The sequence below is a fragment of the Homo sapiens genome, chromosome 8 (genome assembly GCF_000001405.40).
Source record: "Homo sapiens chromosome 8, GRCh38.p14 Primary Assembly".
In the NCBI taxonomy this organism is placed as follows: Eukaryota; Metazoa; Chordata; class Mammalia; order Primates; family Hominidae; genus Homo; species Homo sapiens.
This window is the reverse complement of record NC_000008.11, coordinates 116,105,763-116,130,508: the sequence shown is the minus strand read 5'-3', so window position 1 is coordinate 116,130,508 and position 24,746 is coordinate 116,105,763. Positions and strand designations below refer to the sequence as shown.

At 36.9% G+C, this 24,746-nt stretch overlaps 1 long non-coding RNA gene across 1 annotated transcript in view, besides 1 other annotated feature; it reads left to right on the top strand.

Annotated features, from left to right (window-relative positions):
- LINC00536 (long intergenic non-protein coding RNA 536) overlaps nt 1-24,746 on the top strand; it is a 374,549-nt gene that overhangs the window by 194,551 nt on the left and 155,252 nt on the right. The window contains exons 5-7 of the long non-coding RNA NR_046215.1: nt 229-311; nt 5,091-5,137; nt 10,726-10,820. This is a non-coding gene — a long non-coding RNA (long intergenic non-protein coding RNA 536). The remainder of the gene's footprint in view (nt 1-228; nt 312-5,090; nt 5,138-10,725; nt 10,821-24,746) is intronic.
- Nucleotides 1,730-2,356: an enhancer, noted in NCBI's record as "OCT4-NANOG hESC enhancer chr8:117140378-117141004 (GRCh37/hg19 assembly coordinates)". NCBI's record gives its function as "activates a minimal SCP1, AML or CMV promoter by ChIP-STARR-seq in naive and primed H9 embryonic stem cells {active_cell/tissue: H9 hESC(naive and primed)}" and the evidence as "EXISTENCE:reporter gene assay evidence [ECO:0000049][PMID:30033119]".

Below are 24,746 nucleotides of genomic sequence, written 5' to 3'. Positions count from 1 at the left end.
TTGAAGTTTTCTTTGGTTCCCTACATCATCTGTTTCTTTTGAGTGCCTGGTTTTTCTATTTATTTGTTTTGGTATTTGTGATACTTTCCTCAAATATCTCGTCACCCTTGACTATCCATTCATGTCTAAAATTGGGCACTTAAAAACGAATTGGAAGCACTGTGGGCTTATAGGGCAGTTAGGTAGCCAGTGGGTTTTTTATTGATTTTATTGATTGTTTTTCTCCAGGGTAGTTTCATCAGAAAAGATCCTACAACCTTCTATCTGAAGAGCATGAATAGCTGCTGCTTTTTTGGAGTTGGGGCCTTTCAGTAAGTACTTAATTCCCTTGTTTTCAGTATTGAATTTAAATAACCTGTGCCTAGACTAATGAGGCCAGGGCCTTGCTGGTTCAATTTCCCTTGAGCAGTGGTTTTCAAGCCTTAACATGATCAGAATCTTTCGGAAGATTAGCCAAGACACAGTTGATTAGACCTCAACTCCCAAACTTCTGATTTAGTAGGTCTGGGGTGAGGCCAGAGAATGCACTCCTAACAAGTTTCCTGATCTGTGGCCTGGGGACCACAGTTTGAGCAACATTGCTCTAGCACATAATCTTCTTGGTTTTTTTTGGGTGGGGGTGTTGGTAGGAGAGAGGGAGTGAAAAGTCTCTGAATGCATGGCATAGTGGTCTAACTTATAACACTGTTAGATATTCCCTCTGTTTCACCATCTCAAGCTTTCCTCCTGATTTCAGTAATATCTGTGCCATCTAATTCTTGAGACCTTCTAGAATGTTTTAGGGGTAAATAAGCAAACTTCTCTTTGGCCCAGCCCCTTCTCCCTCTTCTCAGCCTCTCTCAGGAATATTGGATTGACTTGCATCCTCTCTGTTTGGTCTTTTGTCATCTCCCTTTCCAATACCCCTTTCCATCTTTATATTCCAAAGATAAAGATTACCAAGGGCCTCTTTTTCATTGATGGTGGAGTTGGAGTGTCTTCTTTTTCTTCTTGTTGTTTGGGGTGTTATTTTGAGAAGAATAAAGAAAAGAAACTTTATTAGCATTGCTTTGATGGGGTGTTATTTTTTAATCAAATAACAAGAAACTTCTTTATTGTCTTGATTTGAGACAGATAAATAAATCCATAATATTTTGATTCTTGCTAGTTTTACTTTTAAAGAGTATTTTTGTGAGAACTCTATTTAAATGGGTGGCAGCATTTAGAAACTGGAAATTGATGCTATACAATAACTTCTGGTTAATCGAAATAGTCCATTGACAGCACAAAATATTTATAATTGTCCAATAAATCGTTTGTACTTAAGAAGGATCTAAACTTTGCACTAAAAACTATAGCTAAAGTGATGATGTTTGTCCTTCTATTTTCTTGAATTGATCTTGATCTTATTTTGCCAGAAATAAGGTTATTTGGTTAATTTTTATTAACCCCAAATTTCAAAGAAATGTAAAATGCTGTCTTAAATAGCTAGAGCCCTGCTACTTAAGGTAGTTGCCAGTATACATAAATAGCTATTTACATTTAAGTTACTTAAAATTTAAATTTATTTCTTTAGTCATACTAACCTCATTTTTGTTAGTCACACATGGCCAGTGGCCACTGTAATGAAAACCTTAGACAAAGAACATTGCCATCATTGCAGAAAGTTCTGTTAGACTTTACAAACATAAAGTCTCCTATATTTACAGAAGGACAAAAGAAAAAAAAGGAAAAGAATGATGACTTTCATTTTCATTTTGAATGAAAACAGTCTTTTGTCAATCTTACACATTTTACTTAAGAACCTTAGTTTGAAAATATCAGTGCCTTCAATATATGCCCCAAATGGCCAAACACATTTTTAGCTTGATAGTGGTTATGTGGGAGATGGAAATGATTTATGCCAAAATGCAGGACGGATTTGTGTTAAATCATTTGCATGCTGTTAAGGTGGAGGAATGCTCATGGGGCTGCAACCCACCTCACCCATTTTCCTATCTGTTTAGTGTCTAAAGAAGACATGTTGAAAAGCTGAGCCACTGCAGGTGTGCTTTGTCAACTGGGATTCCAGCTCAGAGTTTCTCAGATCAACACAGCGTGTGGCTTATATGCAAAGTGCCTGCTTTCAGTTGGGAAGTGTGTGTGTCAAGGATAAATGGCTTGTTCCAACGCAGAGCCACACACTCATGGATTCTGGCTGTGTTTGTTGACCTTCAGATACCAATTTAATTCTTTATTGATTAAATAAACATTAGAGGCTATTTATTGGGTCTCAATTAGGAGCTGTTATCCTAGCCAAAGGATGATATATATGTTTTTTAATCCTGTGGCTAATTTTTTAAATGTTAAAAAAAAAGTCTTCTTAGACCTGCCAATGAAAATAAAACATTTCTAACAATTACTTACTCATAAAAAATATGCACAGGGAAACAAAATTTCATTATTTCAATATTATAAAACTATTCTTCTGAAGCCAATAAGCGGAAATCATTTAAAAAGATAAGTAAGTAGATAGATAGATGGTAGGTTGAATTGTTGATTTGGGTATCAGCAACTTAATTGCATTAATTATCTCCTTAATTTTGTTAACCACATTAATTAATTAGTGACATTTAAATCTTAGATACTTAAATTTTCTCTTTTCAGTTATCTGGGAAGATGATCCCAGAATAATCTCCCTAAAATGTGTGCAGGTTTTTTTTTTTTTTTTTTTTGCTATATAAAACAGCTGGCTGCCCACATTTTGTTCTATACTACCTAGTTTGCTGCAAAACTGGAGATGTCTACCTAGATTTGTGAATGCCTGGTCTTGACCTAAGGCTAGCTTAGGTATTACTCTGATGATTTTCTGGAATAGGTGGAAATCATCTCTCCTGCAGGTCATCTCTAAAGAGCTTTACCCTTCCCTCTCACCTTGTTTGCAGGGACATTCTCCTCAGTGAATGGGATGACCAGGCTGCTAAGATTTAGGGGGAAAATAATCCAGTAAGGCTCACTCAAAATCAATTGGAATTTTATAATGTAGGTACAAGTTAGCTACAAATCAGCAAGATAACATCATGACAGAATTTAAATTTATATAATCTGCTCTATTTTAATAAGAACTTATCTGTTTTTTTTGTTTCTAGAGCCTATAGTAATAGGCAAATAACAGAACAAAATAGACATCATAACAATAATGATCATCACTGAATACTTGATATGTACTAAGCACAGTGTCTCATGCTATGTACATAATATATTAAGTGCACTTAGAACTTCTAGTTAATCTATTGAATAAAGATTGTTATTTCCATTTTACAGAGAAGAACAATGAAGCTTATTTTAGCACCTGGACCAATGTTCTAGCTAGTAAGTGAAGGTATTCAGTACCCAAATTTGTCAAACTCTACAAACCTTTCTCATAATGACTATGCTAGGCATTCAGCATAACTAGTGAATTTAGGAGGGACAGGACTATGGAGACTTGAAATACCCTGTGGGATAGAAGTTAAACAGGTTTATATATGATCATTTTTTAAATTCTCAGGAAATACAAATTTTCTAAGAAATATAGTATATTCCTGATGTATCCCAAGCACCTACAAGAGCAACTGGAACATAATGAATATTCAATGAATAAATTGACTTAGGGTCACTATATAACTGTTACAACTTGAGATATTCTGAGAGACCTTTAAAGCTGATACAAAGTGTGCCTATTTTTACTTGCATGAGACACATACCTTGGTCTATGCAATTACTGTGCAACTCAGAGAATCTGTTCATGTACGTGTATATACCTTCTCCCATCATATTAGATATAAATTGGTGACTTTACAAGCTCTCTGTAGGACAATATGTATGGCATTAAAAGACAATTCAGTCTATAATTAGTAGGGACTAGTAAATTTAGGGACTCATATTGTTGAAAAAGAGCAAGTTTATTGGTATGAGTCTGTAGTAGATATTTCAATTGTCCTCATTACCTCAGGACAGTATTTTACTTTGCCTACACCTTCCAATATTCTTGAAAACTTGAACTATTCTCTAAAATAAGGTGAACTGATTTTCAATAGAGACAATAACATCCTGAATCTATCCTCCCCTTGGTTAAACGGTACCTGCCAGAATCTTTTGGGATCAGGATCATGTGTCTCCATGATTATTTAACAACTCTTAATACACTGGAATATTTTACATCTTAGTTGTATATCAATTTCTTATTGTTCCTTTAACAAGTTACCACAGATTTAAAAGTGATTTGAAATAACATCAATTTATTGTTTTATAGTTTTGGATAGCAGAAGTCCTAAATGGGTCTCACTGGGCTAAAATCAAGATGTGTTATGGCTGTGTTGTTTTCTGGACACTGTAGGGAGAATCCCTCTGCTAGCTTCTGTCAGTTTCAAGTTCCTATTCCTTGTCCCATGGCCTCCTTTCCTCCTCAAAGCCAACAATGACCAGTCAAGTCTTTCTCATATGGTGCCACTCTGACACTGACCCTTCTGTCTACATCTGCAATTAAGGAACCTTGTGATTATAATGGACCTGCCTGGATAATTCAGAGTAATCTTTCTAGTTTAAGATAAGCTAATTAACAAACTTAATTTTATCTGCTGTCTTAATTTCCCTTTGTCATGTAATGTAGCATATTCACAAGTTCTGGGAATTAGGACATGGACATCATTGGAAGGCTGATATTCTGCCTACCACAGAGAGATAACAGTATGGAGTTATTAAGTAACATACTTGCATGTAAATCCCAACTCTACATTAGCTGTTTGATCTTGGGCAAGTTACTTAATCCCCTTGAGTTGCCTGGATGGCAAAACTAAGTTAATAATTACTACTAGTCAGGATTGTCAAAAAGATGCTCTAAGTATTGGAGAATTTGGGAGTCTGACACATGAAGAATTATCTTGTTTAGTGTGTCATCCTATTAATATTTGAAAAAAAAATCCTTCTGAAATGCATATTGTAGGTTATAGAACGCTTAGATATCCTTTATTCTTCTCAGGTGAAAGGAGTGAAATTCACCCACTTATCACCTTCTTTATAGCTCATTGCCTAGTCCTGTCTCAAACATGATCACTGAGTATGGGCCTATTATCTGTCTTTTTCTTCATCAGTTCACCATGAAGATACTGCATTGTGGCACAGTCCTTGAAGAGACAAGGTTAGTGAACTTGCAACAGTTAGAAAAAAATTGATGGATAAATTGTGCTGACCAAGATTACCATTAAAGTTCAAGAAGGTGATAGATCTATAAAGAATAGTGTAATTGCTGAAACCTTTAATGCAACATAGAGTGTATTGAAAGAGACTTTCAAACAAAAGGAAAAACATTAGCAAAAATGAAAAGTAATGGATGAGAGACTGAACATGGAATATAGGAGAAGACAAGCGGCAGGAAGGAAAAAAGAGCTCGCTGACAGAGTAGAGGCTATGTTAAAGTTATAAAGAGCACTGTGTAACATGGAATATAGATGTGTGTTTTAAAGAAACTTGAAACAAGGTAAGAAAGTCCAGGGAAAAATAGACACTGAAGATTATTGATTAGAAGTTAATAAAGGTGAGGAAGTTGAGTTTGGAAGGAGATGAACTTGTAGGCACCAGAAATAAGTATGGAACTTGAGTCATAATTCCTTCCTCTACTAAATAAATCAAAAATTGATATACGCTAATGCATGAATAATCGGAGGTAGATTCTCTTTCTTCTCTGTCTCATTCAAGCATTTCTACTTATATCAGAACTTTTAGAGAAAGAAAATTTGATCCATTAAGAGACTAAGAGGTGTCCTGAGAGATATGAGCCTTTTATAAAAATCACTATGAGGGAATATAAAAAGAAGGTAAGAGAGATATTTATTAAACAAAACAAAGCAATCACTGCCCTTGAGATGAATTTGCTCTTTGCAACCCGATGTGGTACATATCTGTTATCTTTAATTCAAGTGTCATTTCTGGAAAGAGTGTATATTTATAGAATTCTGCTGACTAACTGGTGAATTTAGAAAAATAATGCACTTCTGAGATCCTCAGATTTCTTCATTTTTAATATTGGACTCATGCTCATTACCTAATAGGGATTTTATGAGGATAACTACAATCTGAATAACTTATTTCATCAGTGAGACTGGTTCCTAAATAATTACTGGGTAGTCTAAGCAAGAAAATAATTCATTGGAAGGATATAGGGCAATTCACTTGATTGAAAAGGAGAGCAAATGAGGGCAAGTCCAGACATTTAAGGAGAAAGAACAAAAAGTTTGTGTTTTCAAGTGGTTACCATTGGAATATCTCAGTCCTACATGAATTCTGTCCTTATATCACTCTGTTCAGAATCCAAATTCCTAGGGGAAACAGGGTGTCTGATGAGCCCAATGTCAAAGCAAAAATTTCACTGGACAAAATTAAACAGGCAAAGAAGACTTTATTCGAGGACATTGCAGCAGGGGAGAGACACCAGAACTGAGTCTGAACTCAGCTTTGCAGGAACAAGGGCAATAGGGTTTTTAAGAAATGGGGTGTAAAAAAGAACTGGAATTTTAAAAAAGAACTAAGGTTTTAAGAACCTCTTTGGAGATTATAGGTTATCTGTTTACTAATTGGCTTTCCCCAAAAGAAAGGTCAACTTTCTCTTATTTTCATGGCAGGAGGTGATTTTACAACATGGAACAAGGCACCCACCTGAGTTAGGCTGCAATCCTCCCACAAAAACAAGGAAATAAATAGGGGCACTATCTCTTTTGATGATTATGTTTCAAAGGGTTGGCTCTCAGGTCCTAGATAGACTTGGGTGTAAAATTGGCAAGAGATTTTAAAAATATATCTATATCAAAGAGACATAATACAATGATAAGCTTTCTCAGGAAAATGCTCTAAGAAAAGAGAAAGGTTGCCGGGCTTGGTGGCTCAGGCCTGTAATCCCAGCACTTTGGGAGGCCGAAGCAGGTGGATCATTTGAGGTCAGGAGTTTGAGACAAACCTGACCAACATGGTGAAACCCCATCTCTACTAAAACTACAAAAAAAATTAGCAAGGCGTGGTGGCACATGCCTGTAGTCCCAGCTACTCGGGAGGCTGAGGCAGGAGAATTGCTTGAACCCGGAAGGCGGAGGCTGCAATGAGCTGAGATCATGCCACTGCACTCCAGCCTGGGTGACAGAGTGAGACTCCATCAAAAAAAAAAAAAAAAGCTGGGAAGCGAGGGAAGTTAAGGCTGTCTTTGTCAACAAGTGCAGGCCAAGAGTCTGCCTAAGCACCTGGATTAATGGTTCCACCAAGACCCCTTGGAATGGAGAAAAGAGTCATTCTCAAAGAGAAAACTGAGATAGGGTCTCTCTCACACACACACACACACATCAGGGAAGGAATGGTGGGTAGAACATTATTAATAACAAAAATGTGCCCAAGACTGTGTTGAAAGCTAGAAAAGCAGTGCAATGCTTAATTGTTTTAAAACTTAGTTAGAAACCCCCACCCCCCCGCAAAAAAAAACAAAACAGATAAAAGAATTAGCAAACAATTCGAAGGCAATGCAGAAACAAGGGCATATCCTGTAAAATTGTGCCACACCATAAACAATCCTCTACACAGACTTGCATTCAGGGGAAATAAAATCCAACCTCAAATGTGAAATCGGAGACAATTGACATCTTTACTGCAGCTCCTTAAGCTTGCCAGACACAGGATGATATTGCATGACACAGAGCAACAGATCTTTAAAATTCTTCTCCATCATCCATCTCCCTCAGTGTGTCCCTTGTCATTCTCGTGTCCCGAAGTTTCCCAGAATGCTTTCCCTAAAACTTAGCTTTTTTTTTTTCCTGGAGACAGAGTTTCGCTTTCATCACCCAGGTTGGAGTGCAATGGAGTGATCTCAGCTTACTGCAACCTCCGCCTCCCAGATTCAAGCAATTCTCCTGCCTCAGCCTTCCAAGTAGCTGGGATTACAGGCATCTGCCACCACGCTCAGCTAATTTTTGTATTTTTCAGTAGAGACGGGGTTTCAACATATTGGCCAGGCTGGTCTCGAACTCCTGACCTCAGATGATCCGCCGGCCTTGGCCTCCAAAGTTTCTGGGATTACAGGTGTGAGCCAGCATGCCTGGTTCAGGGATTAAAGGTGTGAGCCAGCGGCCAAAACCCCCCTTTTATTGATGATCTCTCTCGCTCTTTCAATTTCTCCCATCCTTCTCTTACACACACACACACACACACACGCACACACACACACACACTTCTACATCTATTTGTTTCTCTTCAAAGTATTCTCTGCTTCTTCTAATGCAGATTTTTCAGGTCTTTTTAGCTTCTCCAGTTCTGTTTTGTCTTTTTTTCTCAACACTTTATTCTAAAGAACAGGCAACAACATTTCTCTTAGAAGTCAGGGCAGTGACATTTGGCTGCAAATCCTAATCCTATTGATGTTCCCATCACAAATGTGAAGGAGCATCCTTCAAATAGTATGTATGTTTGCTGAGGAAAGTCAGGCTGAAGGGTTATCGCTGTTCATCATATCTCTTCAGTAACTACTTAACAGAAACTGGTACAATAATAGTATTTATTAGTTTTACTTTTCTAATTGAATTGTTGAAAAACAGAATTAGTCAAAGTGTTAAGAAATACGTGATTCTTCTGCAGGTACAAACAAGTCTATAAATGTGTTTGGCAGCGGTAAAGCAGTGCTCAGGAGTTGCAGAAAGCTTTCCAAATTAGCAATGGAGAAGGGTAGCAAAGACTCGAGTTCCTCTAGTAGTGCCATTGCTATTTAGTTCCCTAATCCGAGTGGAATATTAAAAAATCTGGCAGGAGAGACAGAAGAGAGAAGAATGAAAATGAAGAAAGAGGAAGAAAGGGATTTGAACATGGCCGTCATCGCCACCATTCCAGACTTCTTGCATGTCTCAGACACCAGACCAGGTTGTTGGATTCCAGACTGTCTGGATAAATACTGGATGTGTGGTAGCATGTGCTAATATGACCCCTTTACCTTTATTTAAGTATCCATAAAAATGCTTTTATAATAAAAATATCATCTTGTTTCAAGTGGGTATTGAGTGGTTTAGCTATCAAAGTTTATATGGCATTCTAATTACAGTGTTTCTTTTCAGTAAAACTCTATTAACGTATTTTTCAAGAGACCAGATACTAAAACCCTTTCAACAGGTTAAAAGTAAATTCTTAGGATGGAAAATGGAAAAACACATCGAGTGAACATAAAATATTAAAAGCTTGCAAGAGAAAAATTTCTGGAGAACTCCTTCAGATATTTTTATGCTACATAAACATGAAAGATAGTCCTCAGAGTATGTGTATATAGTATAAAACTCTGATATCTAAGAGTTGAGTAGACAGATGTTCTTTCTACTGACTGCAAATACTCCTCAGAGCATAACAACTGAAAGATCAATGTGAAACACTTTATTGTGGCACAAATGCAAAAGAACCGTGGCTGGGAGCCATTGTTTCACTTTTCCAGTAGTTGTTAGAAGCTTTTGTGTGTTCTCCTCCCTGCATCAAAAGCCTGAAATCTCTGAGCTCTAACGATAGATTTACATTGGGATTCAAAGGACAGCCAAAATTCATCAATGTTCTCAGGTTGCTAATCACAGAAACGAATTTAATGCAATGAAACAGACAAGATCAAGATTGTAAGTGTTTAAGGCCCAAAACTAGAGCCTCTAGGACTAGTTAATACAGTTTCTATTTTGTTCACATTCAGGCTCAGGAAATTGTGTCTCATGCATTTGGAAACATTACCTTGGAAACATTAAATAAAAGACAGGAAACCACATACCAGCTGAAGAAAAGAACCAATTCCTGCACAGGGTCTGTGTAAAGGTGATGCCTGACTCCAGTCTACGAGCTCAATCACCAGGCAAGGGCATCTGATAAACTGCAAACTGACATTAGAAACTCTGAAGGCTTATGTGGGGACTCATTTCCAGCTCAGGCCATGATTTCGTATGATTCCACTTTTGCATAAATTAATCATAGAACTATAATGATTTCCGGCTAGGGTTCCAATTTTAGAACCCAGTTCCACCTTCAAGTCTGTACCACAGATCTTTATAATGCAAGTGGAAGTATTTGAAGGAGCTGACAGCACTAACCTCAGCCCAAAATGTTTGATCTGCTTTTAATCTCTCTTCTACTTAAAAGTATTGCTCTCCAATTGTCTCTCTCTTGCCTGCTTGGTGGTAGATCTCCCAAAAGATGTATAGTTTCGGTGACTTTGGCAAAATGCTTTTATGCTTTCCCTCTTACATAACAACCTAAAATTGTTAGATCTGGATTCAGTTTAAAGGGCACAAACTACAAAAACGACAGCAACAAAAAAAGCACAAAACAAACACACAAAAACGCCAGAAGGAATTATTTTGATTCCCTTAAATTTCGTCATACATATCAACAGACATCTAAAGAAGAAGAGTCTACTTTCTTGATCATTTTTCTAAGTAAATATTTTCAAATGCAAAAGTCTGTCTTATACAAGAAAATCTCAAATTGTTAGCTACTTCTGAAGGCATTTAGACTAAATTTTATTTTTTAATTTTTATTTATTTATTTATTTCATAATTATTGTTATTATTTGAGACAAAGTCTTGCTCTGTCACCCAGGCTGTAGTGCAATGGTGTAATCTTGGCTCACTGCAATCTCCACCTCCCAGGTTCAAGTGATTCTCCTGCCTCAGCCTCCTGAGTAGCTAGGATTACAGGCAAGTGCCACAATGCCCAACTAATTGTTTGTATTTTTAGTAGAGACAGGGTTTCACCGTGGTGACAGGCTGGTCTCGAACTCCTGACCTCAAGTGATCCGTCTGCCTCAGCATCCCAAAGTGCTGGGATTACAGGTATGAACCACCACACCCAGCCTATCATTATTTGATATTTGGTGGCAGGGGCTTGGGGAAGAGGCAGAGGATGGTGAAAAACAACATTTTTTTTTATGACTGTTGGTAAGTAGTTGTTGAAAAAAGTAATCTACCTCAGGGCTGAGGCTATTGTCATTAGCAGTGTCTGAAGTCTTCATGTTAACTTCATGTAAAGTCTTCCTATTTCACCCAACAGAGTGCTGTACTTTCCCTGCTCTCAAGTCTCCTCCCATATGCTCCCAGTTTATGGGGATGACTGCTTGCAATATTTTCTTCTTCATTAGCCAGAACCAGACCAACATGAAAAATGTCCCACGTAATTTTTTTCTGAGTGAAAGAAATGGCTGAAGACACTGTTTTGTTGCTGTTCTTGTTTGATGTTTAATACTTATTCACCAGTGTTAACAAGGGGACAAAGAGGGGGGCACCCTCAGACACAGCTGCTGGGAGGGCGATTGTTACAAACTTTTTGTAAGAAAAATAAAATGTGCAAAAGCACTTCCATTTTGTTGAATTGATCTTAGTAGATAAGAATGTTCACAAAAGTTATCTCATGAGATTTTTTTTTTTTTTGAGACAAAGTCTTGCTCTGTTGCCCAGGCTGCCTCTGCCTCCTGGGCTCAAGTGATTCTCCTGCCTCAGTCTCCAGAGTAGCTGGGATTATACGTGCCTGCCACTCCCAGCTAATTTTTGTATTTTTAGTAGAGATGGGGTTTCGCCATGTTGGCCAGGCTGGTCTGGAACTCCTGGACTCAAATGATCTGTCTGCCTCGGCTTCCGAAAGTGCTGGGATTAGAGGCATGAGCAACTGCACCTGGACTTATAAGATATTTTGCATATTGATTTTAATAGCAAGAACTTTGAATAAGCCAAATGTTAAAATAAGGGATGAGTTCAATAAATTTTGACACGTTTATGCAACAGAAAAATTATTGTTAAATGATATTAAATGACAGAAAGTTCTGAAATGACATATGCCTACAGAAATATTAAATTCTGTATTGCTTGTTGATGAGGTTCATATACTATTTATTATTAATGATTCTGCTATGTGTGTGTATGTTTTTCCCAAAATGAACCTCTAATTTAATTTTTTCCAAAACTAACATATCTAAAAACATCTTTAAAATTTGTCTAAGAGGTCTAGAGGAGGTAAAACTCCTGGTGGGGCTGGCTGTAGGAGCTATAGTCAGATAAAAGTAGACTCTGAAATAGAAGTAAGGGCAGATATTTGTTTCCCTGTTAACTTTTGCAGCTACATTCATATTCATCAGACATGACACCATTAGGCCAAATTTACACAGCACATCGTAAAGTGGAAAGTAAGCAAGTAACTAATTAATCTGTTCTAGAAAGACAGGGAAGAGAGGAAGTAGTTTACCCAAAGCCCCTTCATTGCTGATAACGGTCTTCATGAGCAATGTGCTAATCTATTAGTCTTTGCTCAGCTTTATGTTCTTTATATAATGAGTTTGTTTTTTTGTAGTCATCAAATTAAGAATTGGCAATCTTTTCCCTATATTTGGCTTGTAGAAATTTTGTTCTGTTCAGTTTAAGATATGTGCTGAAAAACTTGCCCAAACATTATATCAGTATAAACAGATTAATAATACTAAAGATTTAGGAGTTTTATGGTTTGGCCAATTAATGTTGAGTTTAAAGCAATTCTAAGCATTGCACTATCATATACGAACATGATAATTGCTCATTAAACATTTGACCATCATCTGCCAAATTACCATCTACTCTTTTGTAAAAATGCCTGAGGTTTTAAAATATATTTCCACTAAAAGAATAGACTGCACACATCCCATAAGATGAACCTGAAAAATAATATGGAGCAGATTATGATGGCAAAAAAATGAAGAAATCATGGCTGAAGCTCCAACTGGACTTTTTAAAGAAACTGTTAAAAGCTTTTGTACATTAGAAGCCACTTCGTTAAAAAGCCTTGAGTTTGTGAAACTTAATGATAGCTTTTGTAAAAGAGATTTAGAATTCAAAAATTATTTTAAGGTGGATAATCACTGACAGTAGCTTGGATTGTTAGTGCTTATGAGTAAATTTCAGTAATGAAATTTGCAACAGCAGATGAAATCGACTGGATAATGGCAAGCACTCCATTCCACTTCAACGTGCGTAAGCTTGGTCTTAGAAAACTAGTACATGAACCTATAAACAGAGATGAACATACACACACACATACACACACAGCTAAGCTCCACGTGTGAGCTTTTGACTGAGAACAAATATAGCATGTTTTAGTCTCAAGTTTGCACTTAACCTCAATGTATTTATTTAAGTAAATATGGTAAAAGATCCAAGCATATAATATCTTGGCAAAACTTAGAAGGGAATATCTGGGTCAAAACCTCATAAACATATTTCATCTGATTTCACACCCATAAAACAGTGGTTTAGAAACCATGCACAACAACCAAACACCAGTTGTGCCTTCAAGATAAGTTTTCGGCAGTTGCTAATAAAGGATCCTGTGATCCCCTGACTTGCAGCATGGTTACTGTAAAAACTTTTAGAGTACAAACAGAAAGGGTGGAAGTACTTTTTGTATTCTCCATTTCTGTTTCTTTAAAGCTCTGGGCACATTTCCTCTCTCTCCCCCCTCCCCCTTTCACTCTATCATTCATGGAGATATACAAAAAAGTTCTCTTACTTTTTGAGCCTTTTATTACCTTGGCCAACAGAGAGAGAAAGAGAGACAGAGGCAGAGACACAGACAGAGAATGAAAGATAGGAAGGCCCATTTAAAAAAAAAATTTTTCTTTTGATAGTGACTTATTGTTTAGAACTTTTTAAGATCAACTTTTAAGATCAAGATAAGCAATAAGGTGGTCAAATAAACAATATAAAGTCAGGGACACCTTCCTACTCAAGAAGGATTTTTTTTCTTTTTTACTATTTTACATATACTCTTGAAATGAAGACAATGAACTGCAAAAAATAAAATAAGAATTGTAACACTGCATTTGGATAAGCATTCATCAGAACTAGGGTCTCTGTAGGAAATAATTACCCAAGAATCTTACAATATAAAGAAGTCAAGGCTTATGTTAAATAGCAACAAGCATCTCAAAAACTGACAAAAATGAGTCAAAAATCCATTTAATAGATGTTCATGTATTTTACAACATTTAAATGATATTAGGAGAATTTTTTTCTCAGCATTAGATAATAATATAAATAGATATATACCTGTCCAAATTTTAGTTGTCTCCTAGTCTTTCTGCTTTGATTTTTAGCATCCTGATTTCTGATTTCTCTACTACAAATCAATGCAAGCAAACTTATATTTAGACCCAAAGAAGAGAATATTTCTATTCCCACACTTTGAAAAAGGGAAACATTTGCTGTTTTTACCCACTTCCTCCCCCTTAATTTTGTTACACAATTTTTTTTGTTGTTGTTTGATTGGGTAAGGGCACTTGTGTGTTAAGTCAAGGGAATTTGTTAAAAGTGAGGCATCTGGTTACTCTAAGATCAAAACCAAATCTTCTTTTGGTCTCAAGTGAAGAACTATGCAGTTTGGGACTCACTGTTCTTAATTCAATTACAGTCCTCTTTTTATTTATTTGTTTCTTAAATCGAAGGCAGAGTACAACACAAGACAGACGGGGGGAAAAATAACAAAGGGAAGATCGTACTCTGTAGGCTCTTAAGAGATTTTCCCCTATGCTTCAAATCAAGAACTGCTTCACCCCAACAGCTGAAGTCAATTTCACCAGTTATGGGGAACGGGAGTCTTTGTTACTGGGAATTGCATGTTAAGCTGCTAAGTCTGTACTTACAGGCTTGCTCCACCTTCTTTAAATTTTGCAGTGCTCTTACAGCTCCCCAAACTAATTGTTCCTAGCCATTAGACAGGAGAACGTAAACCCCTGTTTACTTCCATTGTTTGATTTTTTTTTCTCTCAAGGCACCTAATTCTTTATTTGCTCTAAATCACCTGACTTCATTTGGGTCCATAATAGGTAGTTCCCTCAGTTGCATGCCCTTTTAAACCTTGCTAACATCCTCCTCAGAAAAACAGGCTTGAAGTGTACTTGTAGAATAGTTTCATTTTATTTTTAAGGAGAATGCTAAAAGATTGCAATCCGTGCTAAACTCTTGGTATGTTTCTTGTATTTTCTTTTGCTGAAAAGAGCATCCATTTTAAATAGTTTATAACCAGACACAATGGATTTGCATTCCAAAAGATTAAATGGATATTTACTATGTTCTGGACTCAGTATTTCCAAACTTTTTTTGATTGTCTACTCCATAAGTAAACATTTTAGCATCTATAATGTATATTTGTTTATTTTTATGTTATATATGTACTTCTATATAAAGTACTATAAAGCATTTACAAAAATAGAAAATGGAAACTGATCATGTATATATATGTATAAGAGAAATTCTAATATTTTTGCTTACACAATTATGTATATTTTTCATTTGTACATATCTCTTAGGCAAGAACACAGCAGCTGGAGACCAATGCTCTAACCCAGCAGTTTCCAAACTCCAGCATTTAAAACCCTCTTCAAACACAGATTCTTAATCCTATAACAGCTTCTGAATCAGTAGATCTGGAGTAGCACCCATGAATTTCTGTAAAGCTTGCACATAATGGGCCATGCTTTGACTAATACAGCTCTAATCTATGATATGATTTCTTGACTGGACCACTCCAGGTTCAGCTTCACTTGTAATCTTTTTCAGAGGCCTAAAATAATAGGACTTGAATCCATTTGACCCAGAGTGTATATATCAGTCTTTTCCATCCTCCTTGGAGAATAATTTTAACATATCCAAATAAATATGCATTAAAACTTCCCTAATTCAGACCAACTGGAGAAGGGGCCATCTGAATTCACTGAAAGGTGGGTCTCGAAATCCAACTTTACTGTTCTTGACTCCACAAAATAACTAGAGGCAACTGCTGAGGATGGGTTATCTGGAAAAAACCTGAAGATTTATGAATTAGATTAAAGTGCAATGGATAGCATAGTACTGTATTTAAATACAATTTGATGCCTTCCAAGTATTTTGAAAAGATTTTAACTTTAGTAATTTGAACATCCTCTGTAATATTGTTTACATTTCTTGGAAACTTGCTTACACAATTAATTTGCTTAGCAAACTTATAGGTCATGGACAATTCAAAGAAAAATGAAAGCCCTAAGGGTGTGCAAAGATTCCAAATGTATCCTGTCCTAGTGAAATTTTATAGTATTTTCGATAAAGTGAACATACCCCAGATTTTATATGCTTTAAAATTCGGTAGATGAGTCTTTCTGAGCTAAAAGTAACCCACTTGATAATCGATTATCCATTTATTCTACAAAGCATATTATGTACCTGTTATACACTATTAATTCAATTAACGGTTCTTTTTTTTTTTCTGAAATCGAAGGCAGAGTACAACACAAGACAGATGGGGGGAAGATACACTGTGCTGTGCATCACCGAGGGATAGCTGTATCAAAAGATTATACAAATACGTATAATATCATAATGATAAAATAGCTAAAAGAAGTATATATGATGCTGTGAAAGTGCAACAGGGGTAAATGGCTTAAGTGACTCCAAGGGAAAATGTGTACTGTGTCTTTCTAACCTTGTGGCTTGCTCTTAATTACTTGCTTTATGGGTATCTTAAAAAAGGTTAGGAGTCCATGGACAAGCGGCATGAAGAAACAGAGCATCATATTCAACAGACTTTCAATGGATGTCCAGAACCACTGTGTATATTGGTTCCTATATAGGTTCAGGTCAGCAGGATCAAGTACTATATAGGTGGGGGTGGGAGAGGCTAAGAGAATGGTGAGGAACTTTAGGCCAGCAGTTGGCCAGCTGTATTTAGTTTAAGTATTAAATAAAATGATTAAAGAATAGTGAAATGGTTTGGATCTGTGTCCCCATCCAAATCTCATGTTGAATTACAGTCTCCAGTGTTGGAGGTAGGGCCTGGTGGGAGGTGATTGGATCATGGGGGGCAGTTTCTCATGGTTTACCACCATCCCTCTTGGTGTTGCCCTGGTGAGAGTGAGTTATCACGAGATCTGGTTGTTTACAAGTGTCTAGCACCTCTCCCCTCTCTCTCTTCCTTCTGCCATAGCAATGTTAAGATGTGCCTACTTACCCTTTGCCTTCCGCCATGATTGAAAGTTTCCTGAGGCCTCCCCAGAAGCCATCATGCTTCCTGTACAGCCTGTGGAACCGTGAGTCAATTAAACCTCTCTTCTTTACACATTACCCAGTCTCAGATATTTCTTTAGAGTGATGCAAGAATAGACTAATACAAATAGGGTTGAATAACTTCCTTGCCAGTCAGATCCTGAGTCTCATGGCAGTTATTGACAGATCTGTACACCCTTGCCAAATTTCTTTCTGGGTGACTGTGCCCTGCCAATTTTACAAATAAGCAAACTGTTCTTGGCATTTCGAAAGGTCCACTGTTCTTAGCATCCCTTTCCTAGTGCTCATGCTGATGAGGTCCTCATCCTACACACTAAAACCTCTTAAAGATCCTCAAGTTTTAGCCAGGTATGTGCACAGAAGGCATTATTACTCTTAATTTATAATAGAGTAACATTTTCATACTAATCAGAGACTTGCTGGCTTTAATTACTACACATTATTCCATGGGAAAAAGAAAACACTCAAATTTTAAAATAAGATGTTAGCAGGAGTGTGATAAGTGTTTCATTTTTAGCTGCTGGTCTACTAATAAAATAGGTTTGTTTTGGATATTTTGACAATTTTTCCATTTGTATTTTAAATCTGACCTCAGCACAGGACTTTTTAAGTTGAAATAGATATTCATTAAAATGGATTCTCTTTTTCCATCTTCTTACAGGAAAAAAAATATATCAATGTTGCTTTTCTTGAGGAAACTGCCTTTAAAAAAAATTATTTGCAGAATGTGGTTTGTCCTTTAAACCACGTCTCCTGATTCCTAAACTGAGGTCACTTTGTTATAATGACTCACTGGGTTTGGTAACATTCATTACGATAGGGATTAGCCAGTTTACTCAAAACAAAGGAAGTATAATAAAGTCTGATTAATAAACTAACAGACATTGGTTTCCCTCTAATCGCCCTCCTTTCTTCCACTGTAGTTTGGGAAAGGGAAAGGTGCCATCTTCTTTGTGGAGGCCTTACTAGTAAAAATGTATAAACTTTGAAGTGTGCGTGTCTGATAGATTCTTCCTTACATAACTACTATTCTTATACTACATAACTTGGCTAACTTTCTGATTTAATTCTGGAAAGAATACAACTTTCCAACTAGTTAGTGGCTTTTTCCTAATTGATAGATTCTTAAGTTAATAGAATCTGTATTTTTTGTTTTTGGTAGAAATCTAAATTGCTATCAATATTCCTCAGTGGAGCTATTCTTTACTCCCCATACCGCACGGCAACTAATATTGTGTCTCGGAAATCCAAATCATCAGAATGACACCAGCCTGTAGAACTGAAAAATGAGTCACATATGCTAATTACAAGGTTGTAAAGAAGGAAGAAAAAGTGACAATTCTGTATATTTGTTTATCTCCTGCCTTTAGCCAAATGCTACACCATAATTAATGACTGAGCCATTGAAATACATAATTCACCACCTCACTGTTGACTTCATCTTGTTTCAAACTTGGAAACTCAATGTAAAAATCAAACAAACAAACAAAAAACAAAAAACAAACAAACAAACAGACAAAAACAAACAGTGTTGGCCAAGTGCAGTGGCTCATGCCTGTAATCCCAGAAATTTGGACGTCAAGGAAGCCGGATCACTTGAGGTTAGGAGATCGAGACCAGCCTGGCCAACATGGCAAAATCCCCATCTCTACTAAAAATACAAAAATTAGTCGGGCATGTTGGCACTTGCCTGTAGTCCCAGCTACTCAGGAGGCTGAGGCAGGAGAGTCACTTGAACCTGGGAGGCAGAGGTTGCAGTGAGCCAAGATTGTGCCACTGCACTCCAGTCCGTGTGACAGATCAAGACTCTGTCTCAAAAAAAAAAAAAAAAACCCAAACCAAACAAAAAAGACAATGTCATCGATCAGACAAATCATAAACCAACACAAAAAAGTGTTACAAGTTATCAGTAATTTGAAGACTAAATATTAAATTATATAAGGATATGAATAGTAACCACAATTATAGGTTGTAGCCTGGCTTGGCTGGTGTGTAGAGCTTAGGCTGGATTTCATGTGATGGTTCTTTGATGGGACATCTGTCAATCTGTTCACTGACAGCATCAACTTGGCTGACCTGAATGACTAGGCTGATGCATCCTCCTTCCTTCTACAGATCTAGGCTTGTTCCTCCTGAGACTACTTCTTTGACGACCTTATTTGAGAAAGAATTATTTTTTAGTCAAAGGTGAAATGGGAGAGAGTTCCCTGACCCCCTCGCAGGACTTGCAACAGAGGTGCGGCTCACTTGCTTGGCTGCCATGTGTTCAAACCTTTTATGGGATGGGGAGCGTGCAGACAGGCAGGTGCAGGAGCCAGGGTGAGCACTTTGGGCTGCAGCCCCATGTAGCATCTAGGGGTATATTACAATTCATCCTCTTTTAGCAGTTGCTGTCCACAGATGGCTAAGTGTTAAACCAGCTCAGTGGAGAGTCAGGGTGACAGCCTTTTACACTCTGCCCTCTTGGTACCTGGGTCCTTGGTCAACATCCAGGAAGAATCAGGTCATTTGGACTTGAAGAATGGTGAATGTGGAGATTTTATTGAGTAGTGGAGATGGCTTTCACTGGGACGGATGGGGAGCTAGAAAGGGGATGGAGTGGGAAGATGATCTTCCCCTGGAGTTCGGCCATCCCGCAGCTGATCTCCTCTCCAACCATCTCCAGTCAAACTCCTCTCGATGTTCAGATGCTCCTTCTCTTCTCTCCTTCTCTACCAAACTGCTCTGCCACTCTGCCACTCTACTGCTCTTCTGCTTCTCTGTGCCTCTGCTCATGGAGCATGGGGTTTATATGGACACAGGATAGGGGCATGGCAGGCCAGAGTGGTCTTAGAAAAGGTAACATTTGGAGATGAAAACAGGAATGCCTATTCCCATTTAGGGTTGTGGGTTTCCAGGCTTGAGGGTGGGGCCTTTGCCAGGGAACTTGTTCTACCCAGTATTTCCCTGCCTCTTGTCTGTATCAAGGAGACCAACTAAGTGTACTTTCCTAATAAGAGTATAGGCTTTAAAAATTTTGATTAAGTCATGCTCTTGGAAAAGTTTTCATTTGGAATAAACAGTGGGCTCTATTTTTTTCTAACTTCAGAATTTTTTATGCAGAAAATAAGGCCATAGCTGAGAGACCAAGTAGAAACAGTGATTTTAGATAGGCCACCCCTCCAGATAATGGGAGCTCTTTCTTCCCCTCATTACTGTTTCAAAACTTATAGTTGAACCAAACCTCGTTGTCTTCCTGGCTCAGTCCACAATGATGTGTACTTTTCCCCACTGAGTGCTAAATAGAGAGAGGGAGTAGGACTGGGTCTGCAGTTGCAGGAGGCACCGTAGCATGACTTATAATGTACCGTAACAGACAAAAGAGAAAGAGAGAGTGGGGAGACAAACAGACAAAATAGTAACTGCATGAGAGAAGCCATTTGTAATCTGAGTATGTTTATGAAAATATACATTCTTCAAAAATAAATAATAATTACACAGTTGTTTACTCTGGAGTTGGATTGGACTTAGATCTTTCACCACAGCAGGCCTTGGTTTATGTCCTCATGACACTAATCATCCAGATGACTGACTTGATTTTTTTTTTTTTAGTTTTCATTCAGTTTTGGCATCTCCTAGAAATAAAGTGTGTTCACACATACTACAGAAGTGCAATTATATAGCCATTTAGTGAAACGGAGTTTTTGTTCAGACTTTCCCCACAAATATTGATGAGAATACCTTCCAAGAAGAGGATGCATTTTGGTCTCAGCACATTAAAGAAATAAACTCTTGGCGGCAATCTCAATTGGAAAATTTTGTTAATATGACTTCATAAGCATATTTTGCCAAACATATAGAAACAGACACAACCTTGGTCTCCTAATTATATCTGTGTATACAAAGCATAGGCACATTGCTAATTTGCAGCTGCTGATCATTTCACACTTGACCCTAAGGCTGGGCAAATCAACTTACTGTCAACTGGGAAGTCCTCTTACTCTTCTGTCAATATCTGGTCAGTCTCATTTTCTGAAGTGTGTCCACAATTCTTAAGATTTGGGAGCTTTTCTAACTTTATGTTTAATTTTATAATTCATTATATCATAGATGAAGAATTTCAATTTTCCTTTTGATGATTTTAGTTCTATATACACAGGTTTATATATTGAAATGTAAGGTACATTTAAACCCTTTAAAATTATAGAAGGATTGTTATTTAGGCTTGTGGCCTTAAAAATCAGTCTCAATATTTATGATGAGTTTGATTGAATTTAGTTTAAATAATAGATTTCATTTGAAAGTTACCAAAAAAGGCCAACCTTATGGAACTAAATTATTTCTTATGGAGAATTCAAGTTAATTATTGCAAATGAAATATATTTTTAAAGTCCCTTTCATAGAGTTTTATTCAGAGGTACACACATGAATAGAGGTCAATTCTAAATTTTTCAGCTAACTCCTTGAGCCTGCCGTATCAGAATGTCTTATGAAAAATAACTATTTGTATAATTCACATTGGTATCCCAATGATAACTTGAGAAGACTATCACTTATCAAAAGAATCTAATGAGCTTATAGCTCTTAACTCCTAAATTAAATAATGTCAAATTTAGCTTATTATAATTTGATTTTAAGGCCCACACCTATTTTACTATGAAATTACAATGACATGTATAACAGGTTTATTGAGAAGTCAACTCACTGACGTGTAAATATGAAATCGTTTAACCACTTTCCTGAATTTTTCTGGATAACAGGCAACTAGAGACGCCTGGTCCAATTCAAACTTTTCTCAGCCATTTTGGTTATGGGACACTTTCATCTAGTGATTAATACTCAGTTCACTTTATTTAAAAACATTTTAAAATTAAATCTCAAGTCCAATTCAAAGCTCCACTCCTCTTTATCTAGTGTGGCATACTTGAAGGTTAAGAGAAAACATGGTCTCATTGCTCATCCTCCCTCTTAGAAGAGACACTAGCTATTTCAATATTGGTGACAGAAAGATGAGAGATGGGTGGCATTTGTATGTGTCTTTTATTGGCAGTGGGGAAATGTTTTTTTTCTTTTGTTAGTGGTGGCTTCTGACATTGAGGTGATCTGTATGGATTCTGCACACAGATAGTGTTTGTGGTTTTCTTGTTGAGCTCAACCCAGTCCACTCCAACTTCTCCCTCAGAGGGACAACTATGTGTGCCTTTAGCTGTTCCCAAGGTACATATCCCCAATATTTTCTTCTTTTTGGGTGTCCCAACAATTGACTGGGCCTGGAAAGCCTCACAGCTCCTTCTCTTTCAAGTGTCTTTTTAAGTAGTTCCACTGGGATCAATGTGGCACTTTCTTGTGCCCTCCAAGGACCACAGCATGCTGAGATGGTGTCAGTTTGTACTATCCTTATCTTAGGCTATGCTACAGTCCTTTGAAACTCAGCTGGAATATGTTAGCCAACAGCCTAGGGAAGAAGTAGGTTGGTTGTTTATATTCAACTGTTCCTCCCCACTTCGGGGGACACGTGAAGAAATAGCCCCTATTGTCCACTGTGGGGTTAGAATGTTTGAGAACAATAATTTGATGCACTCCTAATCTCTCAGAGCACTCTTTCAAGAACTGTCTCTTCCATGCTCCCCTGTAGAGCTTCACAAAATGAGCTGTGTTGTCCAGCCAGGGAATGGCATGCAGGTGTCTTTCCAAGCAGGGCCTCTGTTCTTCATGAGTGACTCTTCCAGAGCCTCTCTCACTTGGCCTCCATGAAGCTTACTCCTTTTCCAGTCTTCTGTGTTCATGTTATATTAACTTGGGCAAAAGGGGAAGGCTACATCCTCAGAAGTCAGTAGCCCTAATTAGCTTTCTGGCTCTAGAATGCACAGTACATAGTGCCATGTTTCTTGGCTTTGGTATTAAACTATAATTTTTCAAAATATGAAAAGTCTCAGTCAACATCTGGTTATACAAGTTTCTATAAATTAGGCATTAAAAACACCCTGATTATTTATTTTTTGGAGAATAACAACAACTTAAGTTTACATAGACTTATTTCCAATAGATTAACCTCATCTCTACTAAAAATACAAAAATTAGCCAGGCGTGATGGCACGCACCTGTAATCCCAGCTATGCGGGAGGCTGAGGCAGGAGAATCCCTTGAACCTGGGAGGTAGAGGTTGCAGTGAGCTAACATCGCGCCACTGCACTCCAGCCTGGGCAACAGAGCCAGACTCTGTCTCAAAAAAAAAAAGAAAATATATATATATATAGTGTTTGATCTTTGCTTACCTGCAAAATTGGAAAAATGCTTTCTGGTATATTTTAGCTTCTATATTTAGATATCTCATTGATCTCAAATTAGATAGAGAAGAGATTAAAGTCTCTCTCTCTCTCTCCTTTTTTTAATAGAAATGCAATTCTTTCAACAACATTTGTTGAAATTTTTATTCTTTCCCCGTTGAATTACCTTGGGTGCCTTTGTCAAATGTCAATTGATCGTGTAAGTATGGGCATATTCCTACATTTTTTGTTCTGTTTCATTGCTGTATTTTTCTCTCATTATGCTACTGTCTTGATGACCATAGTTTATAGCAATTTTAAAATCAGACTTTGTATCTGTGAACTTACTAAAGTTATTATAGTTATGCTGTGAACTTACTGAAGTTATTATAGTTATGCTGATTCCTTAGGATTTTCTACAGAAACAACCACGTTTTCTACAAATTAAAAGAAAAAAAACTTCTCTCCTTAAAATCTAGATGTCTTTTTCTTTTATTTGCCCTGTTTCACTGATTAGGGCTATCTGTACAATGCTGAATATAAGTGTGAATAGAGGAAATATTTGCCTAGTTTCCAGTTTTAGGAGGAACATATTTCATATTCAACATTTCACCATTAAGCATAATGTAAACGCTAGGTTTTTTATTAAAAATGCTCTTTGTCAGATTGAGGATGTCCACTTTATTATTTTTTAATTGTAAAAAAGCACAACATGAGATCTATCCTCTTGACAGATCTTTACATGTATAATACAGTATTGTTGACTATAGATACACTGTTGTACAGCAAAGTTCTAGAACTTATTCATCTTCTTGACTGAAACTTTAAGCAATCCCTGACCCTCAACCCCTAGCAACTATTCTATTATCTGCTATTGATCACTCTCTAGTATCTTCAAACTGATTATTTTCATTCTTTCCTGAGTTTAAAATTACTATGTATGGGAAGGTTAGTGTAATAAAAACTGCAAAAGCATTATCTAAAGCCTCAATGCTGTTCACGTAGCCTCGTAATTTTTTTGACAACATTTTAATACACTGTGTTTCATTTTCTTCTGCCAAATGTATTTTCATTTTATTTTCCCTATTTTGTAGAAGATAAGGCTTGATTTGAAAGACAACGTGATTTTCCCAAATCTAATGAGTAAATGCTGAAGGAGTTAGAAGTAGAATTTTAAAAATGGAAACATTATCAAGTTCTTCTGTCCCAGGGATTTTGCTCAGTCAGTCCTCTGTGCCTTGCAGGCTGTGATCCCTACTGTTAATCAATGTCAATCTAATCATTTTGGGTATCATTTTAAATATTATCTTCTAATCTAAATTATGTCTAGATATATTACTTTTTCTCATGGTACCTTGTCTTTTTTCATTTGTATTCCTATTATAGGGAAGTAACTATTTCCTGCACATATATTGGTTTTACCCATGTCTCTCTTTTGAGACAGTAAGCAGTAAGAGAA